The sequence below is a fragment of the Homo sapiens genome, chromosome 19, assembly GCF_000001405.40.
Source record: "Homo sapiens chromosome 19, GRCh38.p14 Primary Assembly".
In the NCBI taxonomy this organism is placed as follows: Eukaryota; Metazoa; Chordata; class Mammalia; order Primates; family Hominidae; genus Homo; species Homo sapiens.
In genome coordinates this window covers 51,118,960-51,136,558 of record NC_000019.10, presented here as the reverse complement: position 1 = coordinate 51,136,558, position 17,599 = coordinate 51,118,960, and the positions used below count along the sequence as shown (strand labels likewise).

The following is a 17,599-nucleotide window of genomic DNA, read 5'->3' as shown; positions in this document are numbered from 1 at the left end:
CCACGTGCAGGAACTCCCATCACCCATGGCCACCCTGCCAAAATGCTTTGTCAGCAACCCCTATTGGAGCGTTGTTGCCAGTGGACCCGGAACACCTTGGCCATTCCAGCATAGGAGGTGCTTAACCTTGAAGGGCCAGGAAAAAAAAAAAAAAAAGCCATGGGCCAGGTCCCAGGTCCCTGTAGTTAGAGCATGCAGCTCAGGAGTGCTGAGTTGAGCCTGGGCCCCTTGAAATCATCCAGAAACAAATGCAGTTGTCTAAGCCCAAGTTATACCACTGTGAAACCCTCAAGGGCATCAGAGAATATAAAAGCAAAGAGCCCTATCCAAAGAACAGCAACTTCAAAGATTAAAGGAACATCAGCCCACACAGATGAGGAAGAACCAGTGAAAGAAATCTGACACATCCAAAAGCCAGAGTATTTTACCTTCAAGTGACCACACTATCTCCCCAGCAATGTTCTTAATGAGTCTGAAATGACTGAAATGATAGACATAGAATTCAGAATCTGGATGGCAACAAAGATCACGGAGATTCAGGAGAAACTCGAAACCCAGTCCAAGGAATGTAGGAAATCCAATAAAATGATTCAAGATCTGAAAGATAAAATAATCATTTTAAGAGAGAATCAAACTGATCTGTTAGAGCTGAAAAACTGCAAAAATTTCATAATACAAGCGGAAGTATTAACATCAGAATAGATTAAGCTGAGAAAAGAATCTCAGAGCTCAAAGACCAGTTCTCTGAATCAACCCAATCAGACAAAAATTTTTAAAAAAAGAATTAAAAAAAATGACAAAACCCTCCAACAAATATGGGATTATATAAAGAGACCAAACCTACGGCCCACTGGAATCCTGGAAAAAGAGAGACGCAGCAACTTATAAAACATATTTGAGGATATCATCCACAAAAATTTCCCCAACCTTGCTAGAGAGGTTGACATATAAATTCAGGAAATTCAGAGAACCCCAGGAAGATACTGTACAAGATTACCATCCCCCAGACACAGAGTCATTAGATTTTCTAAGGTTCACATGAAAGAAAAAATATTCAATGCAGCTAAAAGGAAGAGGCAGGTCATGTACAAAGGGAACCCCATCAGGCTAACAGAAGAGCTTTTAGCAGAAATCATATAAGCCAAAGACATTCGGGGCCTATATTCAGCATTCTTAAAGAAAACAAATTTCAGCCAAGATTTTCATACCCTGCCAAACTAAGCTTCATAAACGAAGGATAAATAAAATCCCTTTCAGACAAACAAAAACTGAAAAAAATTCATTACCACCGGACCTGACTTATAAGAGGTCCTTAAGTGAGTGCCAAACACAGAAGTGAAAGAATGTTACATGACACCACAGAAAGTGGTGTTAAGTGGTTAAGTGTATAACCCACTGACATTATGAAGCAACTATACAATCACGTCTACATAACAACCAGCTAACAACATAATGACAGGATCAAATTCTCACATCTCAATATTGACATATCAATAATGCTTTCGCTGGCTGTCCCTTTTGCATAGAGTCCAGCATGAGACGCAGAGGAGACTGGGATGCTTAATGTAGCCAGATGGGGCTGATGTAGCTCCTGAGTTAAAAATACATCTTTCTTTGGGACAGAAGGAACCACGTAATTTACTCTAGTCCAGTTTGGTCCTAGCATCCAGGAAAGTAAAGATGCAATGTACCAGAATACCCATATCAAAAAGTTAGAAAGATCCCAAATTAGCAACTTAACATTACACCTAGAGGAATTAGAAAAACAAGAGCAAGTCAACCCCAAAGCTAGCAGAATAAAACAAATAACCAAAATCAGAGCTGAAATGAATAAAATTGAGATACGAAAATTCCTACAAAAGATCAGTATACCCCAAAGTTGGTTCTTTGAAAGAACAAATAAGATTGATAGATCACTAGCTAGTCTAATAAAAAAGAGGGAACCAAAAGCTTTCATCATTTAAGAGTTTTTAATTTCTCTTTCATGAAAGGTAAATTTACATACAGTAAAATACATAGATTTTATTTGCGTGATTCAATGTGTTTTGATTCATAACCACATAATTACTATCCCAGTTAAGACATAGACTATTCCTAGGACTGGCTGGGCGCAGTGGCTCACGCCTGTAATCCCAGCACTTTGGGATGCAGAGGTGGTTGGATCACAGGGTCAAGAGATCAAGACCATCCTGGCCAACATGGTGGTCTTGGCCAACATGGTGGTCATCTCTATTAAAAATACAAAAATTAGCTGGGCATGGTGGCCCGTGCCTGTAATCCCAGCTACTCAGGAGGCTGAGGCAGGAGAATCGCTTGAACCCTGGAGGCGGAGGTTGCAGTGAGCCACTGCACTCCAGCCCGGCAACAGAGCTAGACTCCTTCTCAAAAAAAAAAAAAAAAAAAAAAAAAAAGAAAAGAAAGAAATAAAATTCCCAGGACCCCAGAAAGTTCCCCTGTGTGCCATTCACGTTAATCCCCAAATCCCACTCCCAACCTGAGGCAGTCACTGTTATGAATTTCTGTCTTTGTAGATTAGTTTGGCCTGTTCTTGAACTTCATATAAGTGAAACTACAGAGCATGTATTCTTTTGCATCTGGCTTCTTTGACTCAAGATGTTTTCAAAATTTATTCAAGCTATTGCATGTATTATATATTGTTATTATATATTGATGAGTATTATGCCGTTACATGGAAACATGTAATCAATTTTAAATATTAATTACTTAGATTTTTATATTATTTTCTCACTAAATGTAGGACATTTCAAGTGCTCAGTAGCCACATGTGGCTAGTGGTTACCATATCAAACAGCACAGTTGTACAAACATTATAGTCTCCGCTTTTACTTTTAGGTTTATGATTCGCTTCAGGCTAATTTTTTGCGTGTGATGTGAGAAACAGCTCAACACTCGTTTTTACCAACCCTAATTTCACTTGTTCCGCTAACATTTATTTTTTATTTATTTATTTATTTTCAAGATGGGGTCTCACTCTGTCGCCAGGCTGGAGTACAGTGGCACAATCTTGGCTCACTGCAACCTCTGCCTCCTGGGTTCAAGCAATTCTGCTTCAGCCTCCCTAGTACCTGGGATTACAGTTGCCTGCCACCACACCCAGCTAATTTTTTTTTTTTTTTTTTGTATTTTTGGTAGAGATGGTGTTTCACCATGTTATCCAGGCTGGTCTTGAACTCCTGACCTCAAGTGATCCACCCACCTCAGCCTCCCAAAGTGCTGGGATTACAGGTGTGAGCCACCGCGCCCGACCACCTACCAACATTTATTAAAAGTCTTTCCTGTCCCAATTGAATAGACTTGATGCTATTCAGTTGACTGTATATGTGTGGGTCCATTTGTAGACTGTACTCTAGTCCACACCACACTCTCTGTATTACTCTAGTGTTAAAGTCTGCCTTCTCTAAATGTGTTTCTTATCACAATGATTTGGTTATTCTAGGTTTTTATGTGTTTATATAAATTTCAGAACCAACTTATCAATTTATAACTATATATGTATATATATAAACTTATATTTACAATATACATACATATACACTCATCTATACTTATGTACATACATATACACATATACATATATTTTATATATATATAGGAATTTTGACAGGGATTACCTAAATCAATATGCAGACAACTGACATTTTAACCATTTTTGCCTTCTAATCCATGAACGTGATATATTTCTTCCTTCATTTGGGCCTTCCTTAAGTCTCTCAAAAATGTTCTATATTCATCAGTACAGAAGCATTCCGTGTTATCTTAGTTCATTTGTGTTGCTATAGAGTAATATCTGAGGCTGGGTAATTTATAAAGAAAAGAGGTTTATACAGCTTGTAGCTGCAGTGAACGCCAAGAATGAAGCACTCAGACAATTCCAGCTGAGCGGGATGCGGCGGCAGCAGCATCTCTGAAAGAGTGCCGCCCCAGAATCCGTCCGCCAAGTGTTTCTCGAAAGGGTTTGTTAAACCAAAATGTCCACCAGATGGCCTTTTGCGGTCGGGTCATGAGACACATATGGCCTGGTAAAAACACTCAGACTACAGTCTCAGGAGGCTGCTTTCCGCGCTCCTTATCACACATTCCGTTCCTTGCCCTGTTTTCAGGGTCAAGGAGTTTCAATCTCATGCACAAACAACACGCACACGGTGCCTCAGTATTTTTCCATGCCTCGACCTCAAATGCCTTGTACATAAGCTTGAATATGTTGCCGTGCACCCCCCACAGTTTATTTGGCTCACAGTTCTGCACCACATAGAAAATGCTTGGCACCAGCCTTTGCTTCTGGTGAGGGTCTCAGGAAGCTTCCACTCATGGTGGAAGGCAAAAGGAAGTCTGCATGTGCAGACAATACGGCAAGAGAGGAAGCACGGGCTGGGGAGGGGAGGTGCCAATGTCTTTTTAACACCCAGCTCTTGGAGAAACTCTCACAGGAAGTAACAGAGTGAGAACTCTCTCATTACCTTGAAGACAGCACCAAGCCATTCATGAGGGATCCAATCCCGGGACCTGAACACCTCCCATTTGGCCCCACCGCCAACACTGGGCATCAAATATCAACAGGAGGCTTGGCAGGGCCAAACAAACCATATCCAAACCATAGCATAGGATTTTTTTTTTTTTTTTTTGACACAGACTCTTGCTCTGTCGCCCAGGCTAGAGTGCAATGGCACAATCTCAGCTCACTGCAACCTCCGCCTCCCGGGTTCAAGCAATTCTCCTGCCTCAGCCTCCCAAGTAGCAAGGACTACAGGCATACGCCACCTCGCCTGGCTAATTTTTGTATTTTTAGTAGACATGGGGTTTCACCATGTTGGCCAGGCTGGTCTTGAACCCCTGACCTGAAGTGATTTGCCCTCCTCAGCCTCCCAAAGTGTTGGGATGACAGGCGTGAGCCACCACGCCCAGCTCGGATATGATTTTTTACTTATTTATTTATTTATTTATTTATTTTTTTTGAGACGGAGTCTCGCTCTGTCTCCCAGGCTGGAGTGCAGTGGCACGATCTCAGCTCACTGCAAGCTCCACCACCCGGGTTCACGCCATTCTCCTGCCTCAGCCTCCCGAGTAGCTGGGACTACAGGCACCCGCCACCACGCCCGGCTAATTTTTGTATTTTTAGTAGAGACAGGGTTTCACCATGTTAGCCAGGATGGTCTCGATCTCCTGACCTCGTGATCTGCCCACCTCGGCCTCCCAAAGTGCTGGAATTACAGGCGTGAGACACTGTGCCCGGCCATGATTTTTAAAAAATTGTTCCTTGGTACTTTACGGTTTTTTGATGCTGCCGTAAATGGGCAAGAGTCTAGATTTAGGGAAGTTTTAGTGCTTCCTCCAGTCCTTTGATTTCTTCCTATCAGGGCTACTGCATAAAGTGATTGTTGTGAGATGTCCCTTTCCTCGTTCGGGTGCTGCATGTAGGTAAATTTTTTTGGATCATGTTGTTTAATTTGCCAGATGATCCTGTGCCCCTTTGGAAACGTTTCTCATTCCCTGGGTTTGGCTTTAGAGGAGGGAGATCATGAGCTGCTGCTTCACTCTCTCCCTCAGCTCAACCCAGAAGTCCAATCCTTGAACTCCATTTTCAAAGACAGAGACAGAAGAAGGCCCAGGAGGAGGGCGTTCTAGGAGGAGGGTCCCCAGTGTGCAAGGACTGAGGTATGAACCAACAGGGCATGTTGCAAATGATTTGGAAAAGACCAGAGGGACCAGTGGGTTAAGTGGTGAAGATGGAGGAGTGGACTGAAGTGGGAGAGTGATGTCACGAAGAGGATGTGATGGGAGGTTCAGGATCCAGGAGCCATGGATGGGCTGTGAGCAGTGCGGAGAGAGCTCAGTGTGTCCTAAAGATTCCCACTGGACTGTGCACAATACGTAGACTGCAGAGAGTAAGGCGGCCTAGCAGTCACAGGGTGGGCAGATGAGGCTGAAGAGGTGGGCAGGATCCAGATGCTACCTAGACCTGATTTGCAGGCTGAGGTTATTTCCTGGAAAGTTGCAGAATCGCTATTTTGCAGGCAAGTGACACAGACATATAAGTACTAGTTGCCACCAGAATCAGGAGAGGTTCCCAGCAGGACCTTTGTGTTCAAAGCACAGCGATCCATCAGTGCTCGGCATACACCTGTGCCAGGAGCTCTAACGGGATGTGACTCCTGGAATGGTGACCACAACCTTGCAAGTAGGGCTTCTCATTCCTGTTTTACAGAGCAGGAAACCAAGGTACAGAGAGGTAGGAATTTGTCTGTCTTTTAGTTAAAAAAATAAAAGGGAGGGCACAGTGTGGATTCAGGTTTGAGATACTTTGACTCTAAAGCCTGTGTGCTTTTCACTCTGCACATAATTCATAGTGTTATCATAGCTCATCACGTTGAGGGCTGTTAATTCTACAAGAATCAGCCTCTGACTTCTCCCTTGCCTGGAGGGGCTGTGATCCCTCAATCAGGGTGAGTCTCTGCAGTTTCTCATCTGTGGATCTTGATCTCCGAGTACTCGGTGTCAGTGGCCTCCTGTCCCCGCGAGTCCCAAGGCTTCACCATCTGGAAGCTGAGGGATGCATACTGGAGCTCTCCTTCCCCCACTGAGGAGCGGGCAGAAGCTGGGGGAGGCTGGTCTGGGGGACTGTCTTCTGCCCAAGGTTCAGTCAGGGGCCCCTGAGACATGGGAGAGAGAAGTGAGTCAGAGCAGACAGTGAGGATGGGGCGCGGTGGCTCACATCTGTAATCCCAGCTCTTCAGGAGGCTGAGGTAGGCGGATCACCTGAGGTCAGGAGTTTGAGACCAGCCTGGCCAACATGGTGAAACCCTGTCTCTACTAAAAATACAAAATTAGCCAGGTGTGGTGGTGTGCACCTTTAATCCCAGCTACTCAGGAGGCTGAGGCAGGAGAATCGCTTGAACCTAGGAGGCAGAGGTTGCAGTAAGCCAAGATTGTGCCACTGCACTACATCCTGGGTGACAGAGCGAGACTCCATCTCAAAAAACAAAAACAAACAAACGAAAAAATGCACTTGAGGCAACAGCCTCACTCACTTCACCCTTGTTCTTGCCCTAGTGGAGAGGTAGGTGCTTAAAAGGTCAGAATGTGGCCGGTCACAGTGGCTCACGCCTGTAATCCCAGCACTTCGGGAAGCCAAGGTGGGCAGATCACAAGGTCAGGAGACTGAGACCATCCTGGCTAACACAGTGAAACCCCGTCTCTACTAAAAATACAAAAAAATTAGCTGGGCGTGGTGGCAGGCGCCTGTAGTCCCAGCTACTCCGGAGGCTGAGGCAGGAGAATGGCTTGAACCCGGAAGGTGGAAGTTGCAGTGAGCAGAGATCGCACCACTGCACTCCAGCCTGGGCGACAGAGCAAGACTCTGTCTCAAAAACAACAACAACAAAAAAAAAAAAAAACAAAAAAAGTCAGAATGTGCACTGCTGCAGGCTATAGAGTTTGGGATTTTTACTCTAGATCAGGGGTTGTCAAACTACAGTATCTGAGTCATATCCAGCCCACTCTTTATGTTTGTGAATAGTTTTATTGGCACACAGCCATATTCATTTGTTTACACAGGGTATATGGCTTCTTTCTTGCTACAACAGCAGATTTGAGGAGCTGCAATGAGACTGTGTGGCCCATGAAGCCGAAAATAGTTTCTATCTGTCCCTGACAGATAGTATTTGCTGGCTTCTGCTCTAAACGGTATTGAGGGGTGGGGGAACAGCTGTTCAAATGCAGAGGAACTGGACGATGATGTCTTCTGGACAGTCCCCCCAGGCAGGAAAGGAGAGGAGACAGGCAGACAGGTGAGGGAACAAAAGACAGAGATCCTCAGGCCTCAGCAATGAAGGGTCAGGATAGGGAGCAGAGACAATAAAAGCTGTTCTTAGGGGAGGAAACCAACCAAACATTGTGATTTGGGGCTACAGAGAAGAAAGGAAGAACAGAGAGGAGGTAACTTTGGCTACGCCCAGCTGATTAGTCCTGGGGGTCATCCTGTGGGAGGTGTCCAGGCTACATGCTGGCTGTGGAGAGTCCACATCACTCACCTGAGAGGCTGAACCCCTGACAGCGTTTGCATCCTCTATGCCCGTATCTCCCACGCCCGCTGCTGGCCTTGCCGATTTCTTCCTGCAGGACCTCACTCTGAGTGAAGAGACCAGAGAGCCTTTCAGTGTGGTCAGATTGGGGTGCGGTGGGCAGACCAGGTACCCCCATGTGTTTCCTATTAAGGGACTGCAGGGGTGACTGAGGTGGGAAAGCAGTGGTCCAGTCTTAGAGACCCCAAGGTTGAGAACAGAGGCTCTCTTCTCCTGGACAGTGGGTACCAAGGTTTGCCACAGACTCAAAGCTCCTCAAACACAGGCCCACATGGAATTCTCACCATGCACCTGTGACCTCCTTCTTGCCCCAAGCTCTTGACCCATCCAGGTCCCTCCAGCTCTGGCTTCAGGGATCCAGCTTCCAGCCTGTCCTCCCCCAGGGCTCTCCCTCCCTCCCTCTCTAGGGTCCATGCTTACACAACGAAGATGACGCAGAAGGACAGGAAGACCAGGGCTGTGGCTCCAGCTCCCCCGACCACCCCCTGAGTCACTCCTGATGTGGCTTTGCCTGTTGACAGATGGGAGTTATTTTTGTGATATATCATAGAGAATTGGGTCTCTTCTCCTCCCACTTCCTGTAGGGTCCTAGACTTCTATTTCCACTTCCCCTTTCCAGACACAAAGAACAGGAATGAGAGAGAGCAGGACATGGAGAGACTCTTCCTGAGGCCAGTGAGGCGTGCAAGTGCCAGCCATTCCTTTTGGGGTTTTTTTTCACAATTTTAATATTTTATCCATTAATGAATTTGTTTTGCATTCAATTTTTACTTTTTTTAAAAGATTATTGCATTGCAATATGATTTCATTTGATTGCTGACTTGCTGGGCTTTTTCTTTTTTTTAATTTGATGCTCAAAGCAAGTATCTCAGTTGTGTGACTCCAGTTCAGCCCTGCAAAGAAAGGCGCTTGTCTCCCTAAACACACCTGTCCGGCCCCATCCTGTCCCCTCTGAGATCCACTCCTGCCCTCTCCCCACCCCACAACCCTTCCCTGGCAGGAAGAGGACAGTGGTGCTGTGGGTCCCAGGGAAGTTCCAGACCTCACAGCTGAGCACAGACCAGAGCGGAGCTCCTCTCTGAAGGTCCACGCTCAGCAGTTACTAAGGGTGGAGGAGGTGTGTTCTCCTCTCCAGCCCCTCCCCAGCATACTGGTGCACTCACTCTGCAGGGAGACGTTCAGGTAGACCTGCTGAGAGCCGAGAGGGTTCTGAGCTCTGCAGGTGAATTCAGCTGCATCCCTCAGGTGCACCCAAGGCAGCTCCAGCACCCCCGGGTTTGAGGGCTGTGAGGGGCACAGGGTCAGGCCTCTCCAGCTCAGGCTCAGCCTGGCAGGGGGATTGCTGTCAACTGCATCAACTGCACAGACCAGGCGCAGAGACTGGCCCTCTGGGAGTGACAGAGATGAGCCATTTCCCAAGACTGTGGATACTGTAGAAAAAGAGACAGAGGGTCAGAGAGATACATAGATCTGGAGAAAAAGGAAGGATACAGAAAGAGACTGATGACAGCAACTGACACACAGACATAGACTGAAGTTCTGGAAACACACACTTTCACCACTCACTGCTGGGAATGTAAACTTCTCCCCGCTTCATCGAGAACAGTTTGGGCTTATCTTTCAAAATAAGAAAGAACATATAATGTAGCTACATTTTGCTTTTAGGAACTTAACCCACAGGCTTAGATATTCCTGTGGAAGTAGATACAAGATTGTTCTATCCTGCCGTAGGATGAAATTAGTGCCGTGATCTTCCATTAGGAGATGCCACAAAATCAGAGTCCATCCATGCAGTGGACTCACACACAGCCCTAGAGGAGGGTGCGGACAGTCTCACTACGGACGTCAAACCACCTCTGAGATCCTCCAGGTGTACAAACCGAGACTCAGGGCAGCCTGGATGGACAGTGGTTGGTTCTGGGGAGGGGGGCAGGCATCGGAGGAGAGCCTTTGCTCTGCAATTTGAATTTTTGCCCATGGACATTTATCACCTGTCCAGAAGTACTTAGATCAGAACTATCAGAAATAAACAGATAAGGGTGGAGATGTATTCAGGAGATACATGAGAAGGAGCCTCAAAGCCTGGTCCTGCTGTGTGAATGCCACCCTCTTCTTGTTTGAGGCTGAGGGGGGGGTGTGTGGGGGAGTCCAAGGGAGGTGATGGGAGGATGGGAACAAGTGGCCTTGGGGCCTAAGGATACAGAGGGGCCCTGAGTTCACCCACAAGGACATCCCTGTTTGCCAAAGTGAGTCCAGGTTGAGGAATAAGCCAGCCCCATCCTGACCTGAAGGCCCTGCTCCTCCAGCCCCAGGGAGGGAGCTCCATCCTACCTGTGCCGTCTCCTTGGAAGACAGTCATGGTCAAGTTCTGAGGCGGGTCTGGGACAGAAAGACATGGAGACCCGCATCACTGTGAGGGCTGGGGACACTGGCCCTGTCTGTCCCCAGGAGCCGCATAAACAGGGAAGGCAGAGCCAGTGTCCTCCTGACCCCACCACCAGCCCAGATTCCGGGACCCAGCACCCAGTGTCCAGGCTTGACGCTCACCCCATCAGGGACCCAGGCGTCCCGGCCCAGCACTCACAGGACACGTTGAGATGGACGGTCTTGTTCGTGGTCACGCTGGCCCCAGGGAAGGTCACCTGACAGGTGAGGCTGGTGCCATGGTCCTGGGGCTGTGGGATGAGGGTGAGCACCGAGGAGCGGGTGGTGGAGGGGTCCAGGGGGGACACGGAGGTCCCTATCCAGGAGATCATAGGGGGTGTCCCCTGCTCACAGGCCCAGGGCACAGAGCAGGTCAGATTCTGGGGGCAGCCGGACTCCAGGGTGCCTGGGATGAGGATGTTGGGCCTGTGGGTCAAGGCTGGTGAAGAGAGGGGGACTCAGGATCAGGTCAGAGGATCCATGGTGCAGCCCTGGGGGGAGCTCAGGCTCTGGTCCAGCTCCTGCCCTGAGCCAACTCGCTTCACCCTAAGCCCTCTCCTGGGGCAGGGGCTCCATCCCAGCCTTTCCCTGCCGCCCCCATGACCTTTCCCTGTGGCCTTTCCTGGAGCCTGTGCCTTACCTGTCACATTCACAGAGAGCCGGTGATGTTTATAATTCCATTTTATACTTCCTTTCTCCATACGAAAGAAGTATCTCCCCGCATCACTTCTTCTGGCATCTCTGATGCTCAGGGTGCAATTCTTGGTATGTGGGTCCCCAAGGAGGTGGAATCGGTCCCGAGTCTCCTCCCACACTGCCCGAGCTGGGTTGTTTGTGGCCACTGGAGCATCCTGGTCTGTATTGGCCCCTTCCCGGAACCAGTAGCCATGAACTACTGGGCCAGGGTAAATCCAGCCATGCGAGGGGTAGGAGAAGGAGCAGGGCACATGGACACACAGGCCTTCCTGCACCGTCACGGAACTCTGCATCGTCAGCAGTTTACTTGTCTGTCCTTCCGCCCTCTCCCTCCCCCAGAGCAGGGGCAGCAGCAGCAGCAGCATGTCTGGGGTTAGAGGTGCCAGGGCCGCGAGGGAACGTCTGTTCCTCAGGGTTCTTCTCTCAGGAACTGCGGGCTCAAGACTTAGAGGAGGCCCTACAGGAAGACAGGGGCGAGGTCGGAACAGTGACCTCCTCAGAGGAGGAACTTTACACCCAGACACTGTCAGGCCCGGGTCAGCCCTGGGAGATCCACCGTCCACCACCCCATGTTCACTCCTGGGTCCCTGAGGCCAGAGCGGGAGACAGACTCACCCAGATTCCCACCCCATGCAGGGCCCACCCCACCTCCTGCCTCCCTCTCAATGCCCTTCCCCTTAGGTGACATTTTCTGCAGGGTGAAAATGAGTCCCATCTGGCCAGACCCCTGAGTCAGAGGCTGTGGATATCTGCGTAGCTCAGAGGTGGGACTTGGGGCCATGAGAGATGGGGGTGCAGGTGGGGTGAGCAGGCAGCCTCTCATCCCCCCCAAGCAAGCACGAGGTGGGCACCCCCTTTCTGCACAACGAGGTCAACACAGCAGAGCTGGACACTGTCCCCAAGGGGTCACTGTGCGGAGGGGAGACATGGAGGCTCCTGACGTCTGAGCTGTCCACGGCAGGAGCTTCAGTTGGGGGGCACAGGCAGGATGGGGTCACTCTCCCGTAGGTCAGGGGTTCAATCTCAGGAGGACTGAGCAGAGGGACATGGGGCTGTGGAGGTGAGGATTCTATGTGTTGATACACGCCAAGGACACAGAGGGGAGCCTGGCTCGCAGGAGGTCTGGGAAACTGAGGCTGTGACTGTTGTACTGTGGGGCTTGGAAGGGAGGAAATTCGGAAGAAAAGGGGCAGATTTCAAAAGGGAAGATATTTCTCCTTTCCTCACTGCACCACGAAGGGTTTCTTCACCACCGATGTCTCGCTCAGCCACACTTCCCTGGTTACTCCAGAACATGAGGGATCAGCTGGCCCTGGGGCTTTGCTTCTGCAAGCTCTGCTCCCAGGGGTCCCGGTGAACAGGAGATGTGGAGTGAGGACACCAGCCCCGGGGCATGCACCCTCCGCGATGGGCAGGATTTCATGGGAGAAGAAACATGCACCTGAATTCAGCAGAAGATTTTTTGTAACTGTGTGGCTGGGCTGGGAGGAACTGGGAGTATCCTGTGTGGTGGAGCCTCCTTAGACCGATGTCAGTTTTCTAGAAATATTTTTGGGAGAAATATAAGCCATATAGATAAAAATGTCTTCCCCCCAAGAAAAAATCTCAGCGGTTTACACATATGAACATGCTTAGAGAAACAGAACACTGGGGATGCCGCAACACCTCCTCTTTGTTACCCCACTTCCTGTCAGCCACACCCCACTTCCTCCTGAAGCAGCCCCAGCCTCACTTTAACGCTAATGGTCTCCATGCTTTTCTAGGTAGTTTTATCATCTGTGCACGTTGCCGTGAATACCTCAGGCCCCCATGTTTGCCCAGTCGCTCCCTGGGAAGTTGCAGCATCTCAACTGCAATGGTCAGAAGGGCTGAGCCATGGCTGACAGTGTTGTCCTGCATCTGTTCTGCAGGGCTGGGTGTCCACATCTGAGTTCTGTCTTGAGCAGGAGGGGCTCAGTCAGGCCTCTCAGCACTGCTCCCCTGGGGCCCTCCACACCTGCAGAGCCAACACGGGCCTCAGATTAGCATCGGCCACTTCAATTCTAACTCAGGCGGGACAGGACAGCTCAGCCCCACCTGGAACTCGGGGAACAATCCTTCGGCTTCCCTAGAAAAGAGCAGGCCTGCTCACCTGGAGTAGTAGCTCCAGGTGAGGCCATGGGGGTTGGGGGGAAGCCAGTGCCCAGGATGGCCCCCTGATCAGGTGAGAACCAGGGGCCAGAAGCCCTCCTGCTTTTCACTCACACATCTGTAGCCAGAGGGGCTTCCTGGGAAAGGGTAGAAGCGTGTGAGATTCTGTTCCCAGGCCTCCACCCCTCTGACAGCCCAAACACCCGACTAGGCTGCCTGCCTCAGCAGCTGTCCTGCAACTCACTCTGCACAGAGGCTCAGGGAAATGTGCTGAAATCGCAGTGGGTGGTGAGCCCAACAGGTCAATGCTCCTCCGTCCCAGCCCCTATCTGAGGCAGCTCCAGGCCCCCGGGTGCTGAGAGCTGGGAGGAATTCAGTGTTCTTCCCTCTCAGGACCAGCTCAGCCGGGCGGGGTTGGGAGGTGGGGTGCTGTCAGCCACACAGACCACAGGGACTCTCCCTCCAGGACAGGCAGTGGTGTACCATTGTTCAGGGTCTTTGGGGCTGGACGAAAAAAACAGAGAAAGCAGGAAGAGTGGTGCTGAGAGGTCGGTTTCTCCCTTACCTCCCATTCGGAATGAGACAGAAGACACATGACTGTTTGACTCATGCTTTTTTTTTTTTTTTTTGAGATGGAGTCTTGCTCTGTCACCCAGGCTAGAGTACAGTGCCGTGATCTCAGCTCACTGCAAGCTCCGCCTCCCACGTTCAAGCGATTCTCCTGCCTCAGCCTCCTGAGTAGCTGGGATTACAGGCATGTGCCGCCACGCCAGGTTAATTTTTGTATTTTTAGTAGAGACGGGATTTCACCATGTTGGTCAGGCTGGTCTTGAACTCCTGACCTCGTGATCTGCCCACCTCAGCCTCCCAAAGTGCTGGCATTACAAGCGTGAGCCACCAAGCCTGGCCCGGCTCATGCTCTTATGTACACAAATCCCGGAGTCCACGCTAGCTGACAGACCCTGGAGGGAAGGAGGCTGAACTGAGATTGGAAGGGGGAGTGGGTCATATTGACGCAAGACAGACAGGCATCACAAGTGAAGGACGAGGGATGTGCAAAGGCTCTGAAACAGTCTGGCAGATGAAGAGACCTGCACATATATCTGGGGTCTTCCAAGGGGACATGGAGGTGTTGGGGCATGACCAGCTGAGGAGCTTAGACTGAGGGTGCCGAGGAGTCACAGGGGACTCTGGGCCAGGAAGGGGTGGGGCTGGTACTGGGTACAGGAAGGTCTTTCTGGGCTTGTGCTATCAGGGGCACAGCATGAAGGGAAGATGGGAGGCTGGGGAGGGGCATGGAACAATGATCAAGACAGCAAAGAGGCTGGGTGCGGCGGCTCAGATCTGTAACCCCAGCACTTTGGGAGGCCAAGGCGGTTGGATCACCTGAGGTCAAGGAGTTCGAGACCACCCTGACCAACATGGTGAAAAGTTGTTTCTACTAAAAGTACAAAAATTAGCCAGGCATGGTGGCATGCTCCTGTAATCCCAGCTACTCAGAAGGCTGAGGCAGGAGAATCACTTGAACCAAGGAGGCGGAGGTTGCAGTGAGCCGAGATCCTGCCACCGCACTCCAGCCTGGACGACAAGAGCGAAACTTCATCTTCAAAAAAAAAAAAAAAAAAAAGACAGCAAAGGGCCTGGTCATGCTGATGGAGGACAGGGGACTAAGCAAGGAGGGCATGACGGGAGACATTGTTCAGGAAGGGAAGTTACAGCACCCACTGGCTCATGAGTACAGTGGATGAAAAGGGTGACATTTGGAGGAAGTGCTGCATCCTGAATGGGGTAAATGGGGGAAGAGAGACGCCATGCATAAGAGGAGGATCAAGGGGCAGAAAGTAGGAGAGGCATCAAGACAGAGCTCAAAGCTGAGCCAGGCAAGGGTGAGCCGGGCATGGTGGCAGGTGCCTGTAATCCCAGCTACTCCAGAGGCCGAGGCATAAGAATCACCTGAACTCGGGAGGCATAGGTTACAGTGAGCCGAGATCATGTCACTGCATTCCAGCCTGGGTGACAGAGCGAGACTCCATCTCAAAACAAAAAACAAAAAAACTCATACTCTGGCCAGGCACAGTGGTGCACGCCTGTAATCCCAACACTTTGGGAGGCCGAGGCAGGAGGATCACTTGAGCCTAAGAGTTCAACACCAAACTGGGTGACACAGTGAGAACCCATCTCTGCCCAAAATTTAAAAATTAGCTGGACATGGTGGTGCCACCTGTAGTCTCTGCTACTTGGGAGGCTGAGGCAGGAGGATCGCTTGAGCCTGGAAGGCGGAGGCTGCAGTGAGCAGAGATTGCGCCACTGCACTCAAGCCTGGGTGACATAGCGAGACTCTGTCTTAAAAAAAAAAAAAAAAAAGAATTCCTGATTCTGACCTCCCTTCCCTCCTGACACCCATTGTTCTCAGGGCCCTGGGCATGGGGGTCCTGATCCACCACTCATAAGAGACATTGAGCTGGATGGTTCTCCCCATGGTCACACCAGCTCGGAGGAACTTCACCTGACAGGTGAGGTTGCTGCCATGGTCACATGGCTGTGGGATAAGGCTGAGAACTGAGGACTGGTCGGGAAGAGGGGTCTTGGAGACTGTAAAATTGGTGGCTTCTCTTATCCAGAAGAAATTTGGTGGGGTTCCCTTCTCACCGGCCCATGATACGGTGCAAGTCAGATTTCCAGGGTCACCTGATTGCAGCTCTTCTGGACATGGATCTCAGGTGGCTGGGTCAGCACTAGAAAAGAGAAAGGGGCTGATTCCTGTTTCTGGGAGTGGGGGCACTCCCTGTGCCAGAGCCCCACCCCAGGGCCCCTGAATGCTTCCCATGACCCCGAATGAGGAGAAAGAGCTCCTTTTCTGGGACTTTCCTCTACTTGTCACATGCAAGAACAACTTCTCATTTCCGTAACTGTATTTCATGTAATAACCTCTCTCCACCTGAAAGAAGTACGTCCCTGTATCCGCCTCATTGGCATCTCTGAGGTTCAGGGAGCAGCTGTAGGTCTGGGGATGACCAACGAGGTGAACTGGCCCTGGTTCTTCTCCTGCAATTGTTTGGGGTTGTTTGTAGCCACTGGAGTGTTCCTTCCAGGAGTGGCTTCATCCTGTTGGCAGTAACCATGAGCTAGGCCGGATCCTGCCCAGTAATACTTGGGGTAGAAAACAGCGCAGAGCACATGCCTGCACATTCCCTCCTGCACCGTCACCAGCTCCTGCACTCTAAGGCCATCTCCTGGATCCTAAGCCAAAGCCCCTGGGGAGAGAAGGAGAGGCTCAGACACTGACCCCGCTCCCCGCTCAGGACCCCTCTGGGTCTGCTTACTTTCTCACCACCTGGATGGCAGCAGCACCAGCCCCAGCAGAACTGTGCCTTGAGCCATGAGCACCAGGCACTGCCCCAGGACAGTCTGGTCACAAGAGTCCCTCCGTATGGGAAGAATAGTCTGGGAGAAACAAGGGTAAACCCCAACAGGAAGCCACGGGGTTTGGACAAAATGGTAATCGTGCACATAAGTGCAGTGTCAGACCCACCACTGCCAGAGATGGGAGGTTTTCTGAGATCAGCCTTCCCCTCTTCCCTGCTGTGCAGAATTCAGTGAGGTCTAGGGAAAGCAAAAGACTCCTCAGAGTTTGCTGGCGAATGTGTCTTTCGCCAGCAGAAAGACTTCCACATGTGGAAGTGCTCATGAAAACCTGGAAATATTTCTGCCTTGCATATTCAGAAGAACTTACCCGTGAATTTCTTCCCTGGAAATCAGTGTTTGCTACTGAATGAATTCCTATATGAATATCAGTGCTGTAGTCTGGAGGTTTGTGCCCTCAAACCTGTTGAGAGTTGATCCCAGTGTTGGAGGTGGGGCCTCATGGGAGGTGCTTGGGTCATGGTGCTGGATTCCTCAGGAATAGATGAGTGCCCCTGCCTGCCAGTGAGTCGGTGCTCAAGCTCTGAGTCAGGCACCTCCCTCCCTCTCTCTTGCTTCCTCTCCTATCATGTTATCTCTGCACACATCAGCCCCCTCTTCCATCATCCCCCACTAGGATTGGAAGCAGCCTGAGGACTTTACCAGATGCCCAATCTCAAACCTTTCCAGACATCGGAATCACGGGCCAAATAAACCTTTTTTCTTTATAAATGACCCAGCCTCAGGTATTCCTTTAACCTGCAACACAAAACGGACTAAGACAATAGAACTATTTGGGTTTTTTTTTTCTTGAGACAGTCCCAGTTATTTATATTTTTGCAATAATC

At 49.9% G+C, this 17,599-nt stretch overlaps 1 protein-coding gene and 1 pseudogene across 5 annotated transcripts, besides 1 other annotated feature; both read right to left on the bottom strand.

Moving 5' to 3' along the window:
• Positions 1-295: 295 nt before the first annotated feature.
• SIGLEC9 (sialic acid binding Ig like lectin 9) lies at positions 296-16,781 on the bottom strand. 5 transcript variants are annotated; one of them, XM_047438615.1, is made up of 12 exons: positions 16,288-16,781; positions 15,999-16,084; positions 13,594-13,853; positions 13,351-13,486; positions 13,018-13,215; positions 11,164-12,758; positions 10,684-10,962; positions 10,431-10,478; positions 9,263-9,529; positions 8,520-8,610; positions 8,049-8,145; positions 6,249-6,668 (listed from the first exon to the last, which is right to left on the bottom strand). In XM_047438615.1, exons 6-12 carry the CDS (start codon positions 11,582-11,584, stop codon positions 6,480-6,482), a joined length of 1,392 nt encoding a protein of 463 aa, XP_047294571.1. In that variant the 5' UTR covers positions 11,585-12,758; positions 13,018-13,215; positions 13,351-13,486; positions 13,594-13,853; positions 15,999-16,084; positions 16,288-16,781; the 3' UTR covers positions 6,249-6,479. The 5 variants fall into 5 exon arrangements, with proteins under 5 accessions (NP_001185487.1, XP_047294571.1, XP_047294572.1 ...); XM_047438616.1 differs by lacking the exons at positions 15,999-16,084; positions 16,288-16,781 and having other exon boundaries at positions 11,164-12,271; positions 12,661-12,758; positions 13,594-13,928; XM_011526732.4 differs by lacking the exons at positions 6,249-6,668; positions 13,351-13,486; positions 15,999-16,084; positions 16,288-16,781 and adding an exon at positions 7,518-7,759 and having other exon boundaries at positions 11,164-11,676; positions 12,661-12,758; positions 13,594-13,928.
• Positions 7,583-7,632: an enhancer, noted in NCBI's record as "active region_15009". NCBI's record gives its function as "activates an Ori minimal core promoter by ATAC-STARR-seq in GM12878 lymphoblastoid cells {active_cell/tissue: GM12878}" and the evidence as "EXISTENCE:reporter gene assay evidence [ECO:0000049][PMID:35858748]".
• SIGLEC18P (sialic acid binding Ig like lectin 18, pseudogene) lies at positions 16,223-16,729 on the bottom strand (annotated as a pseudogene).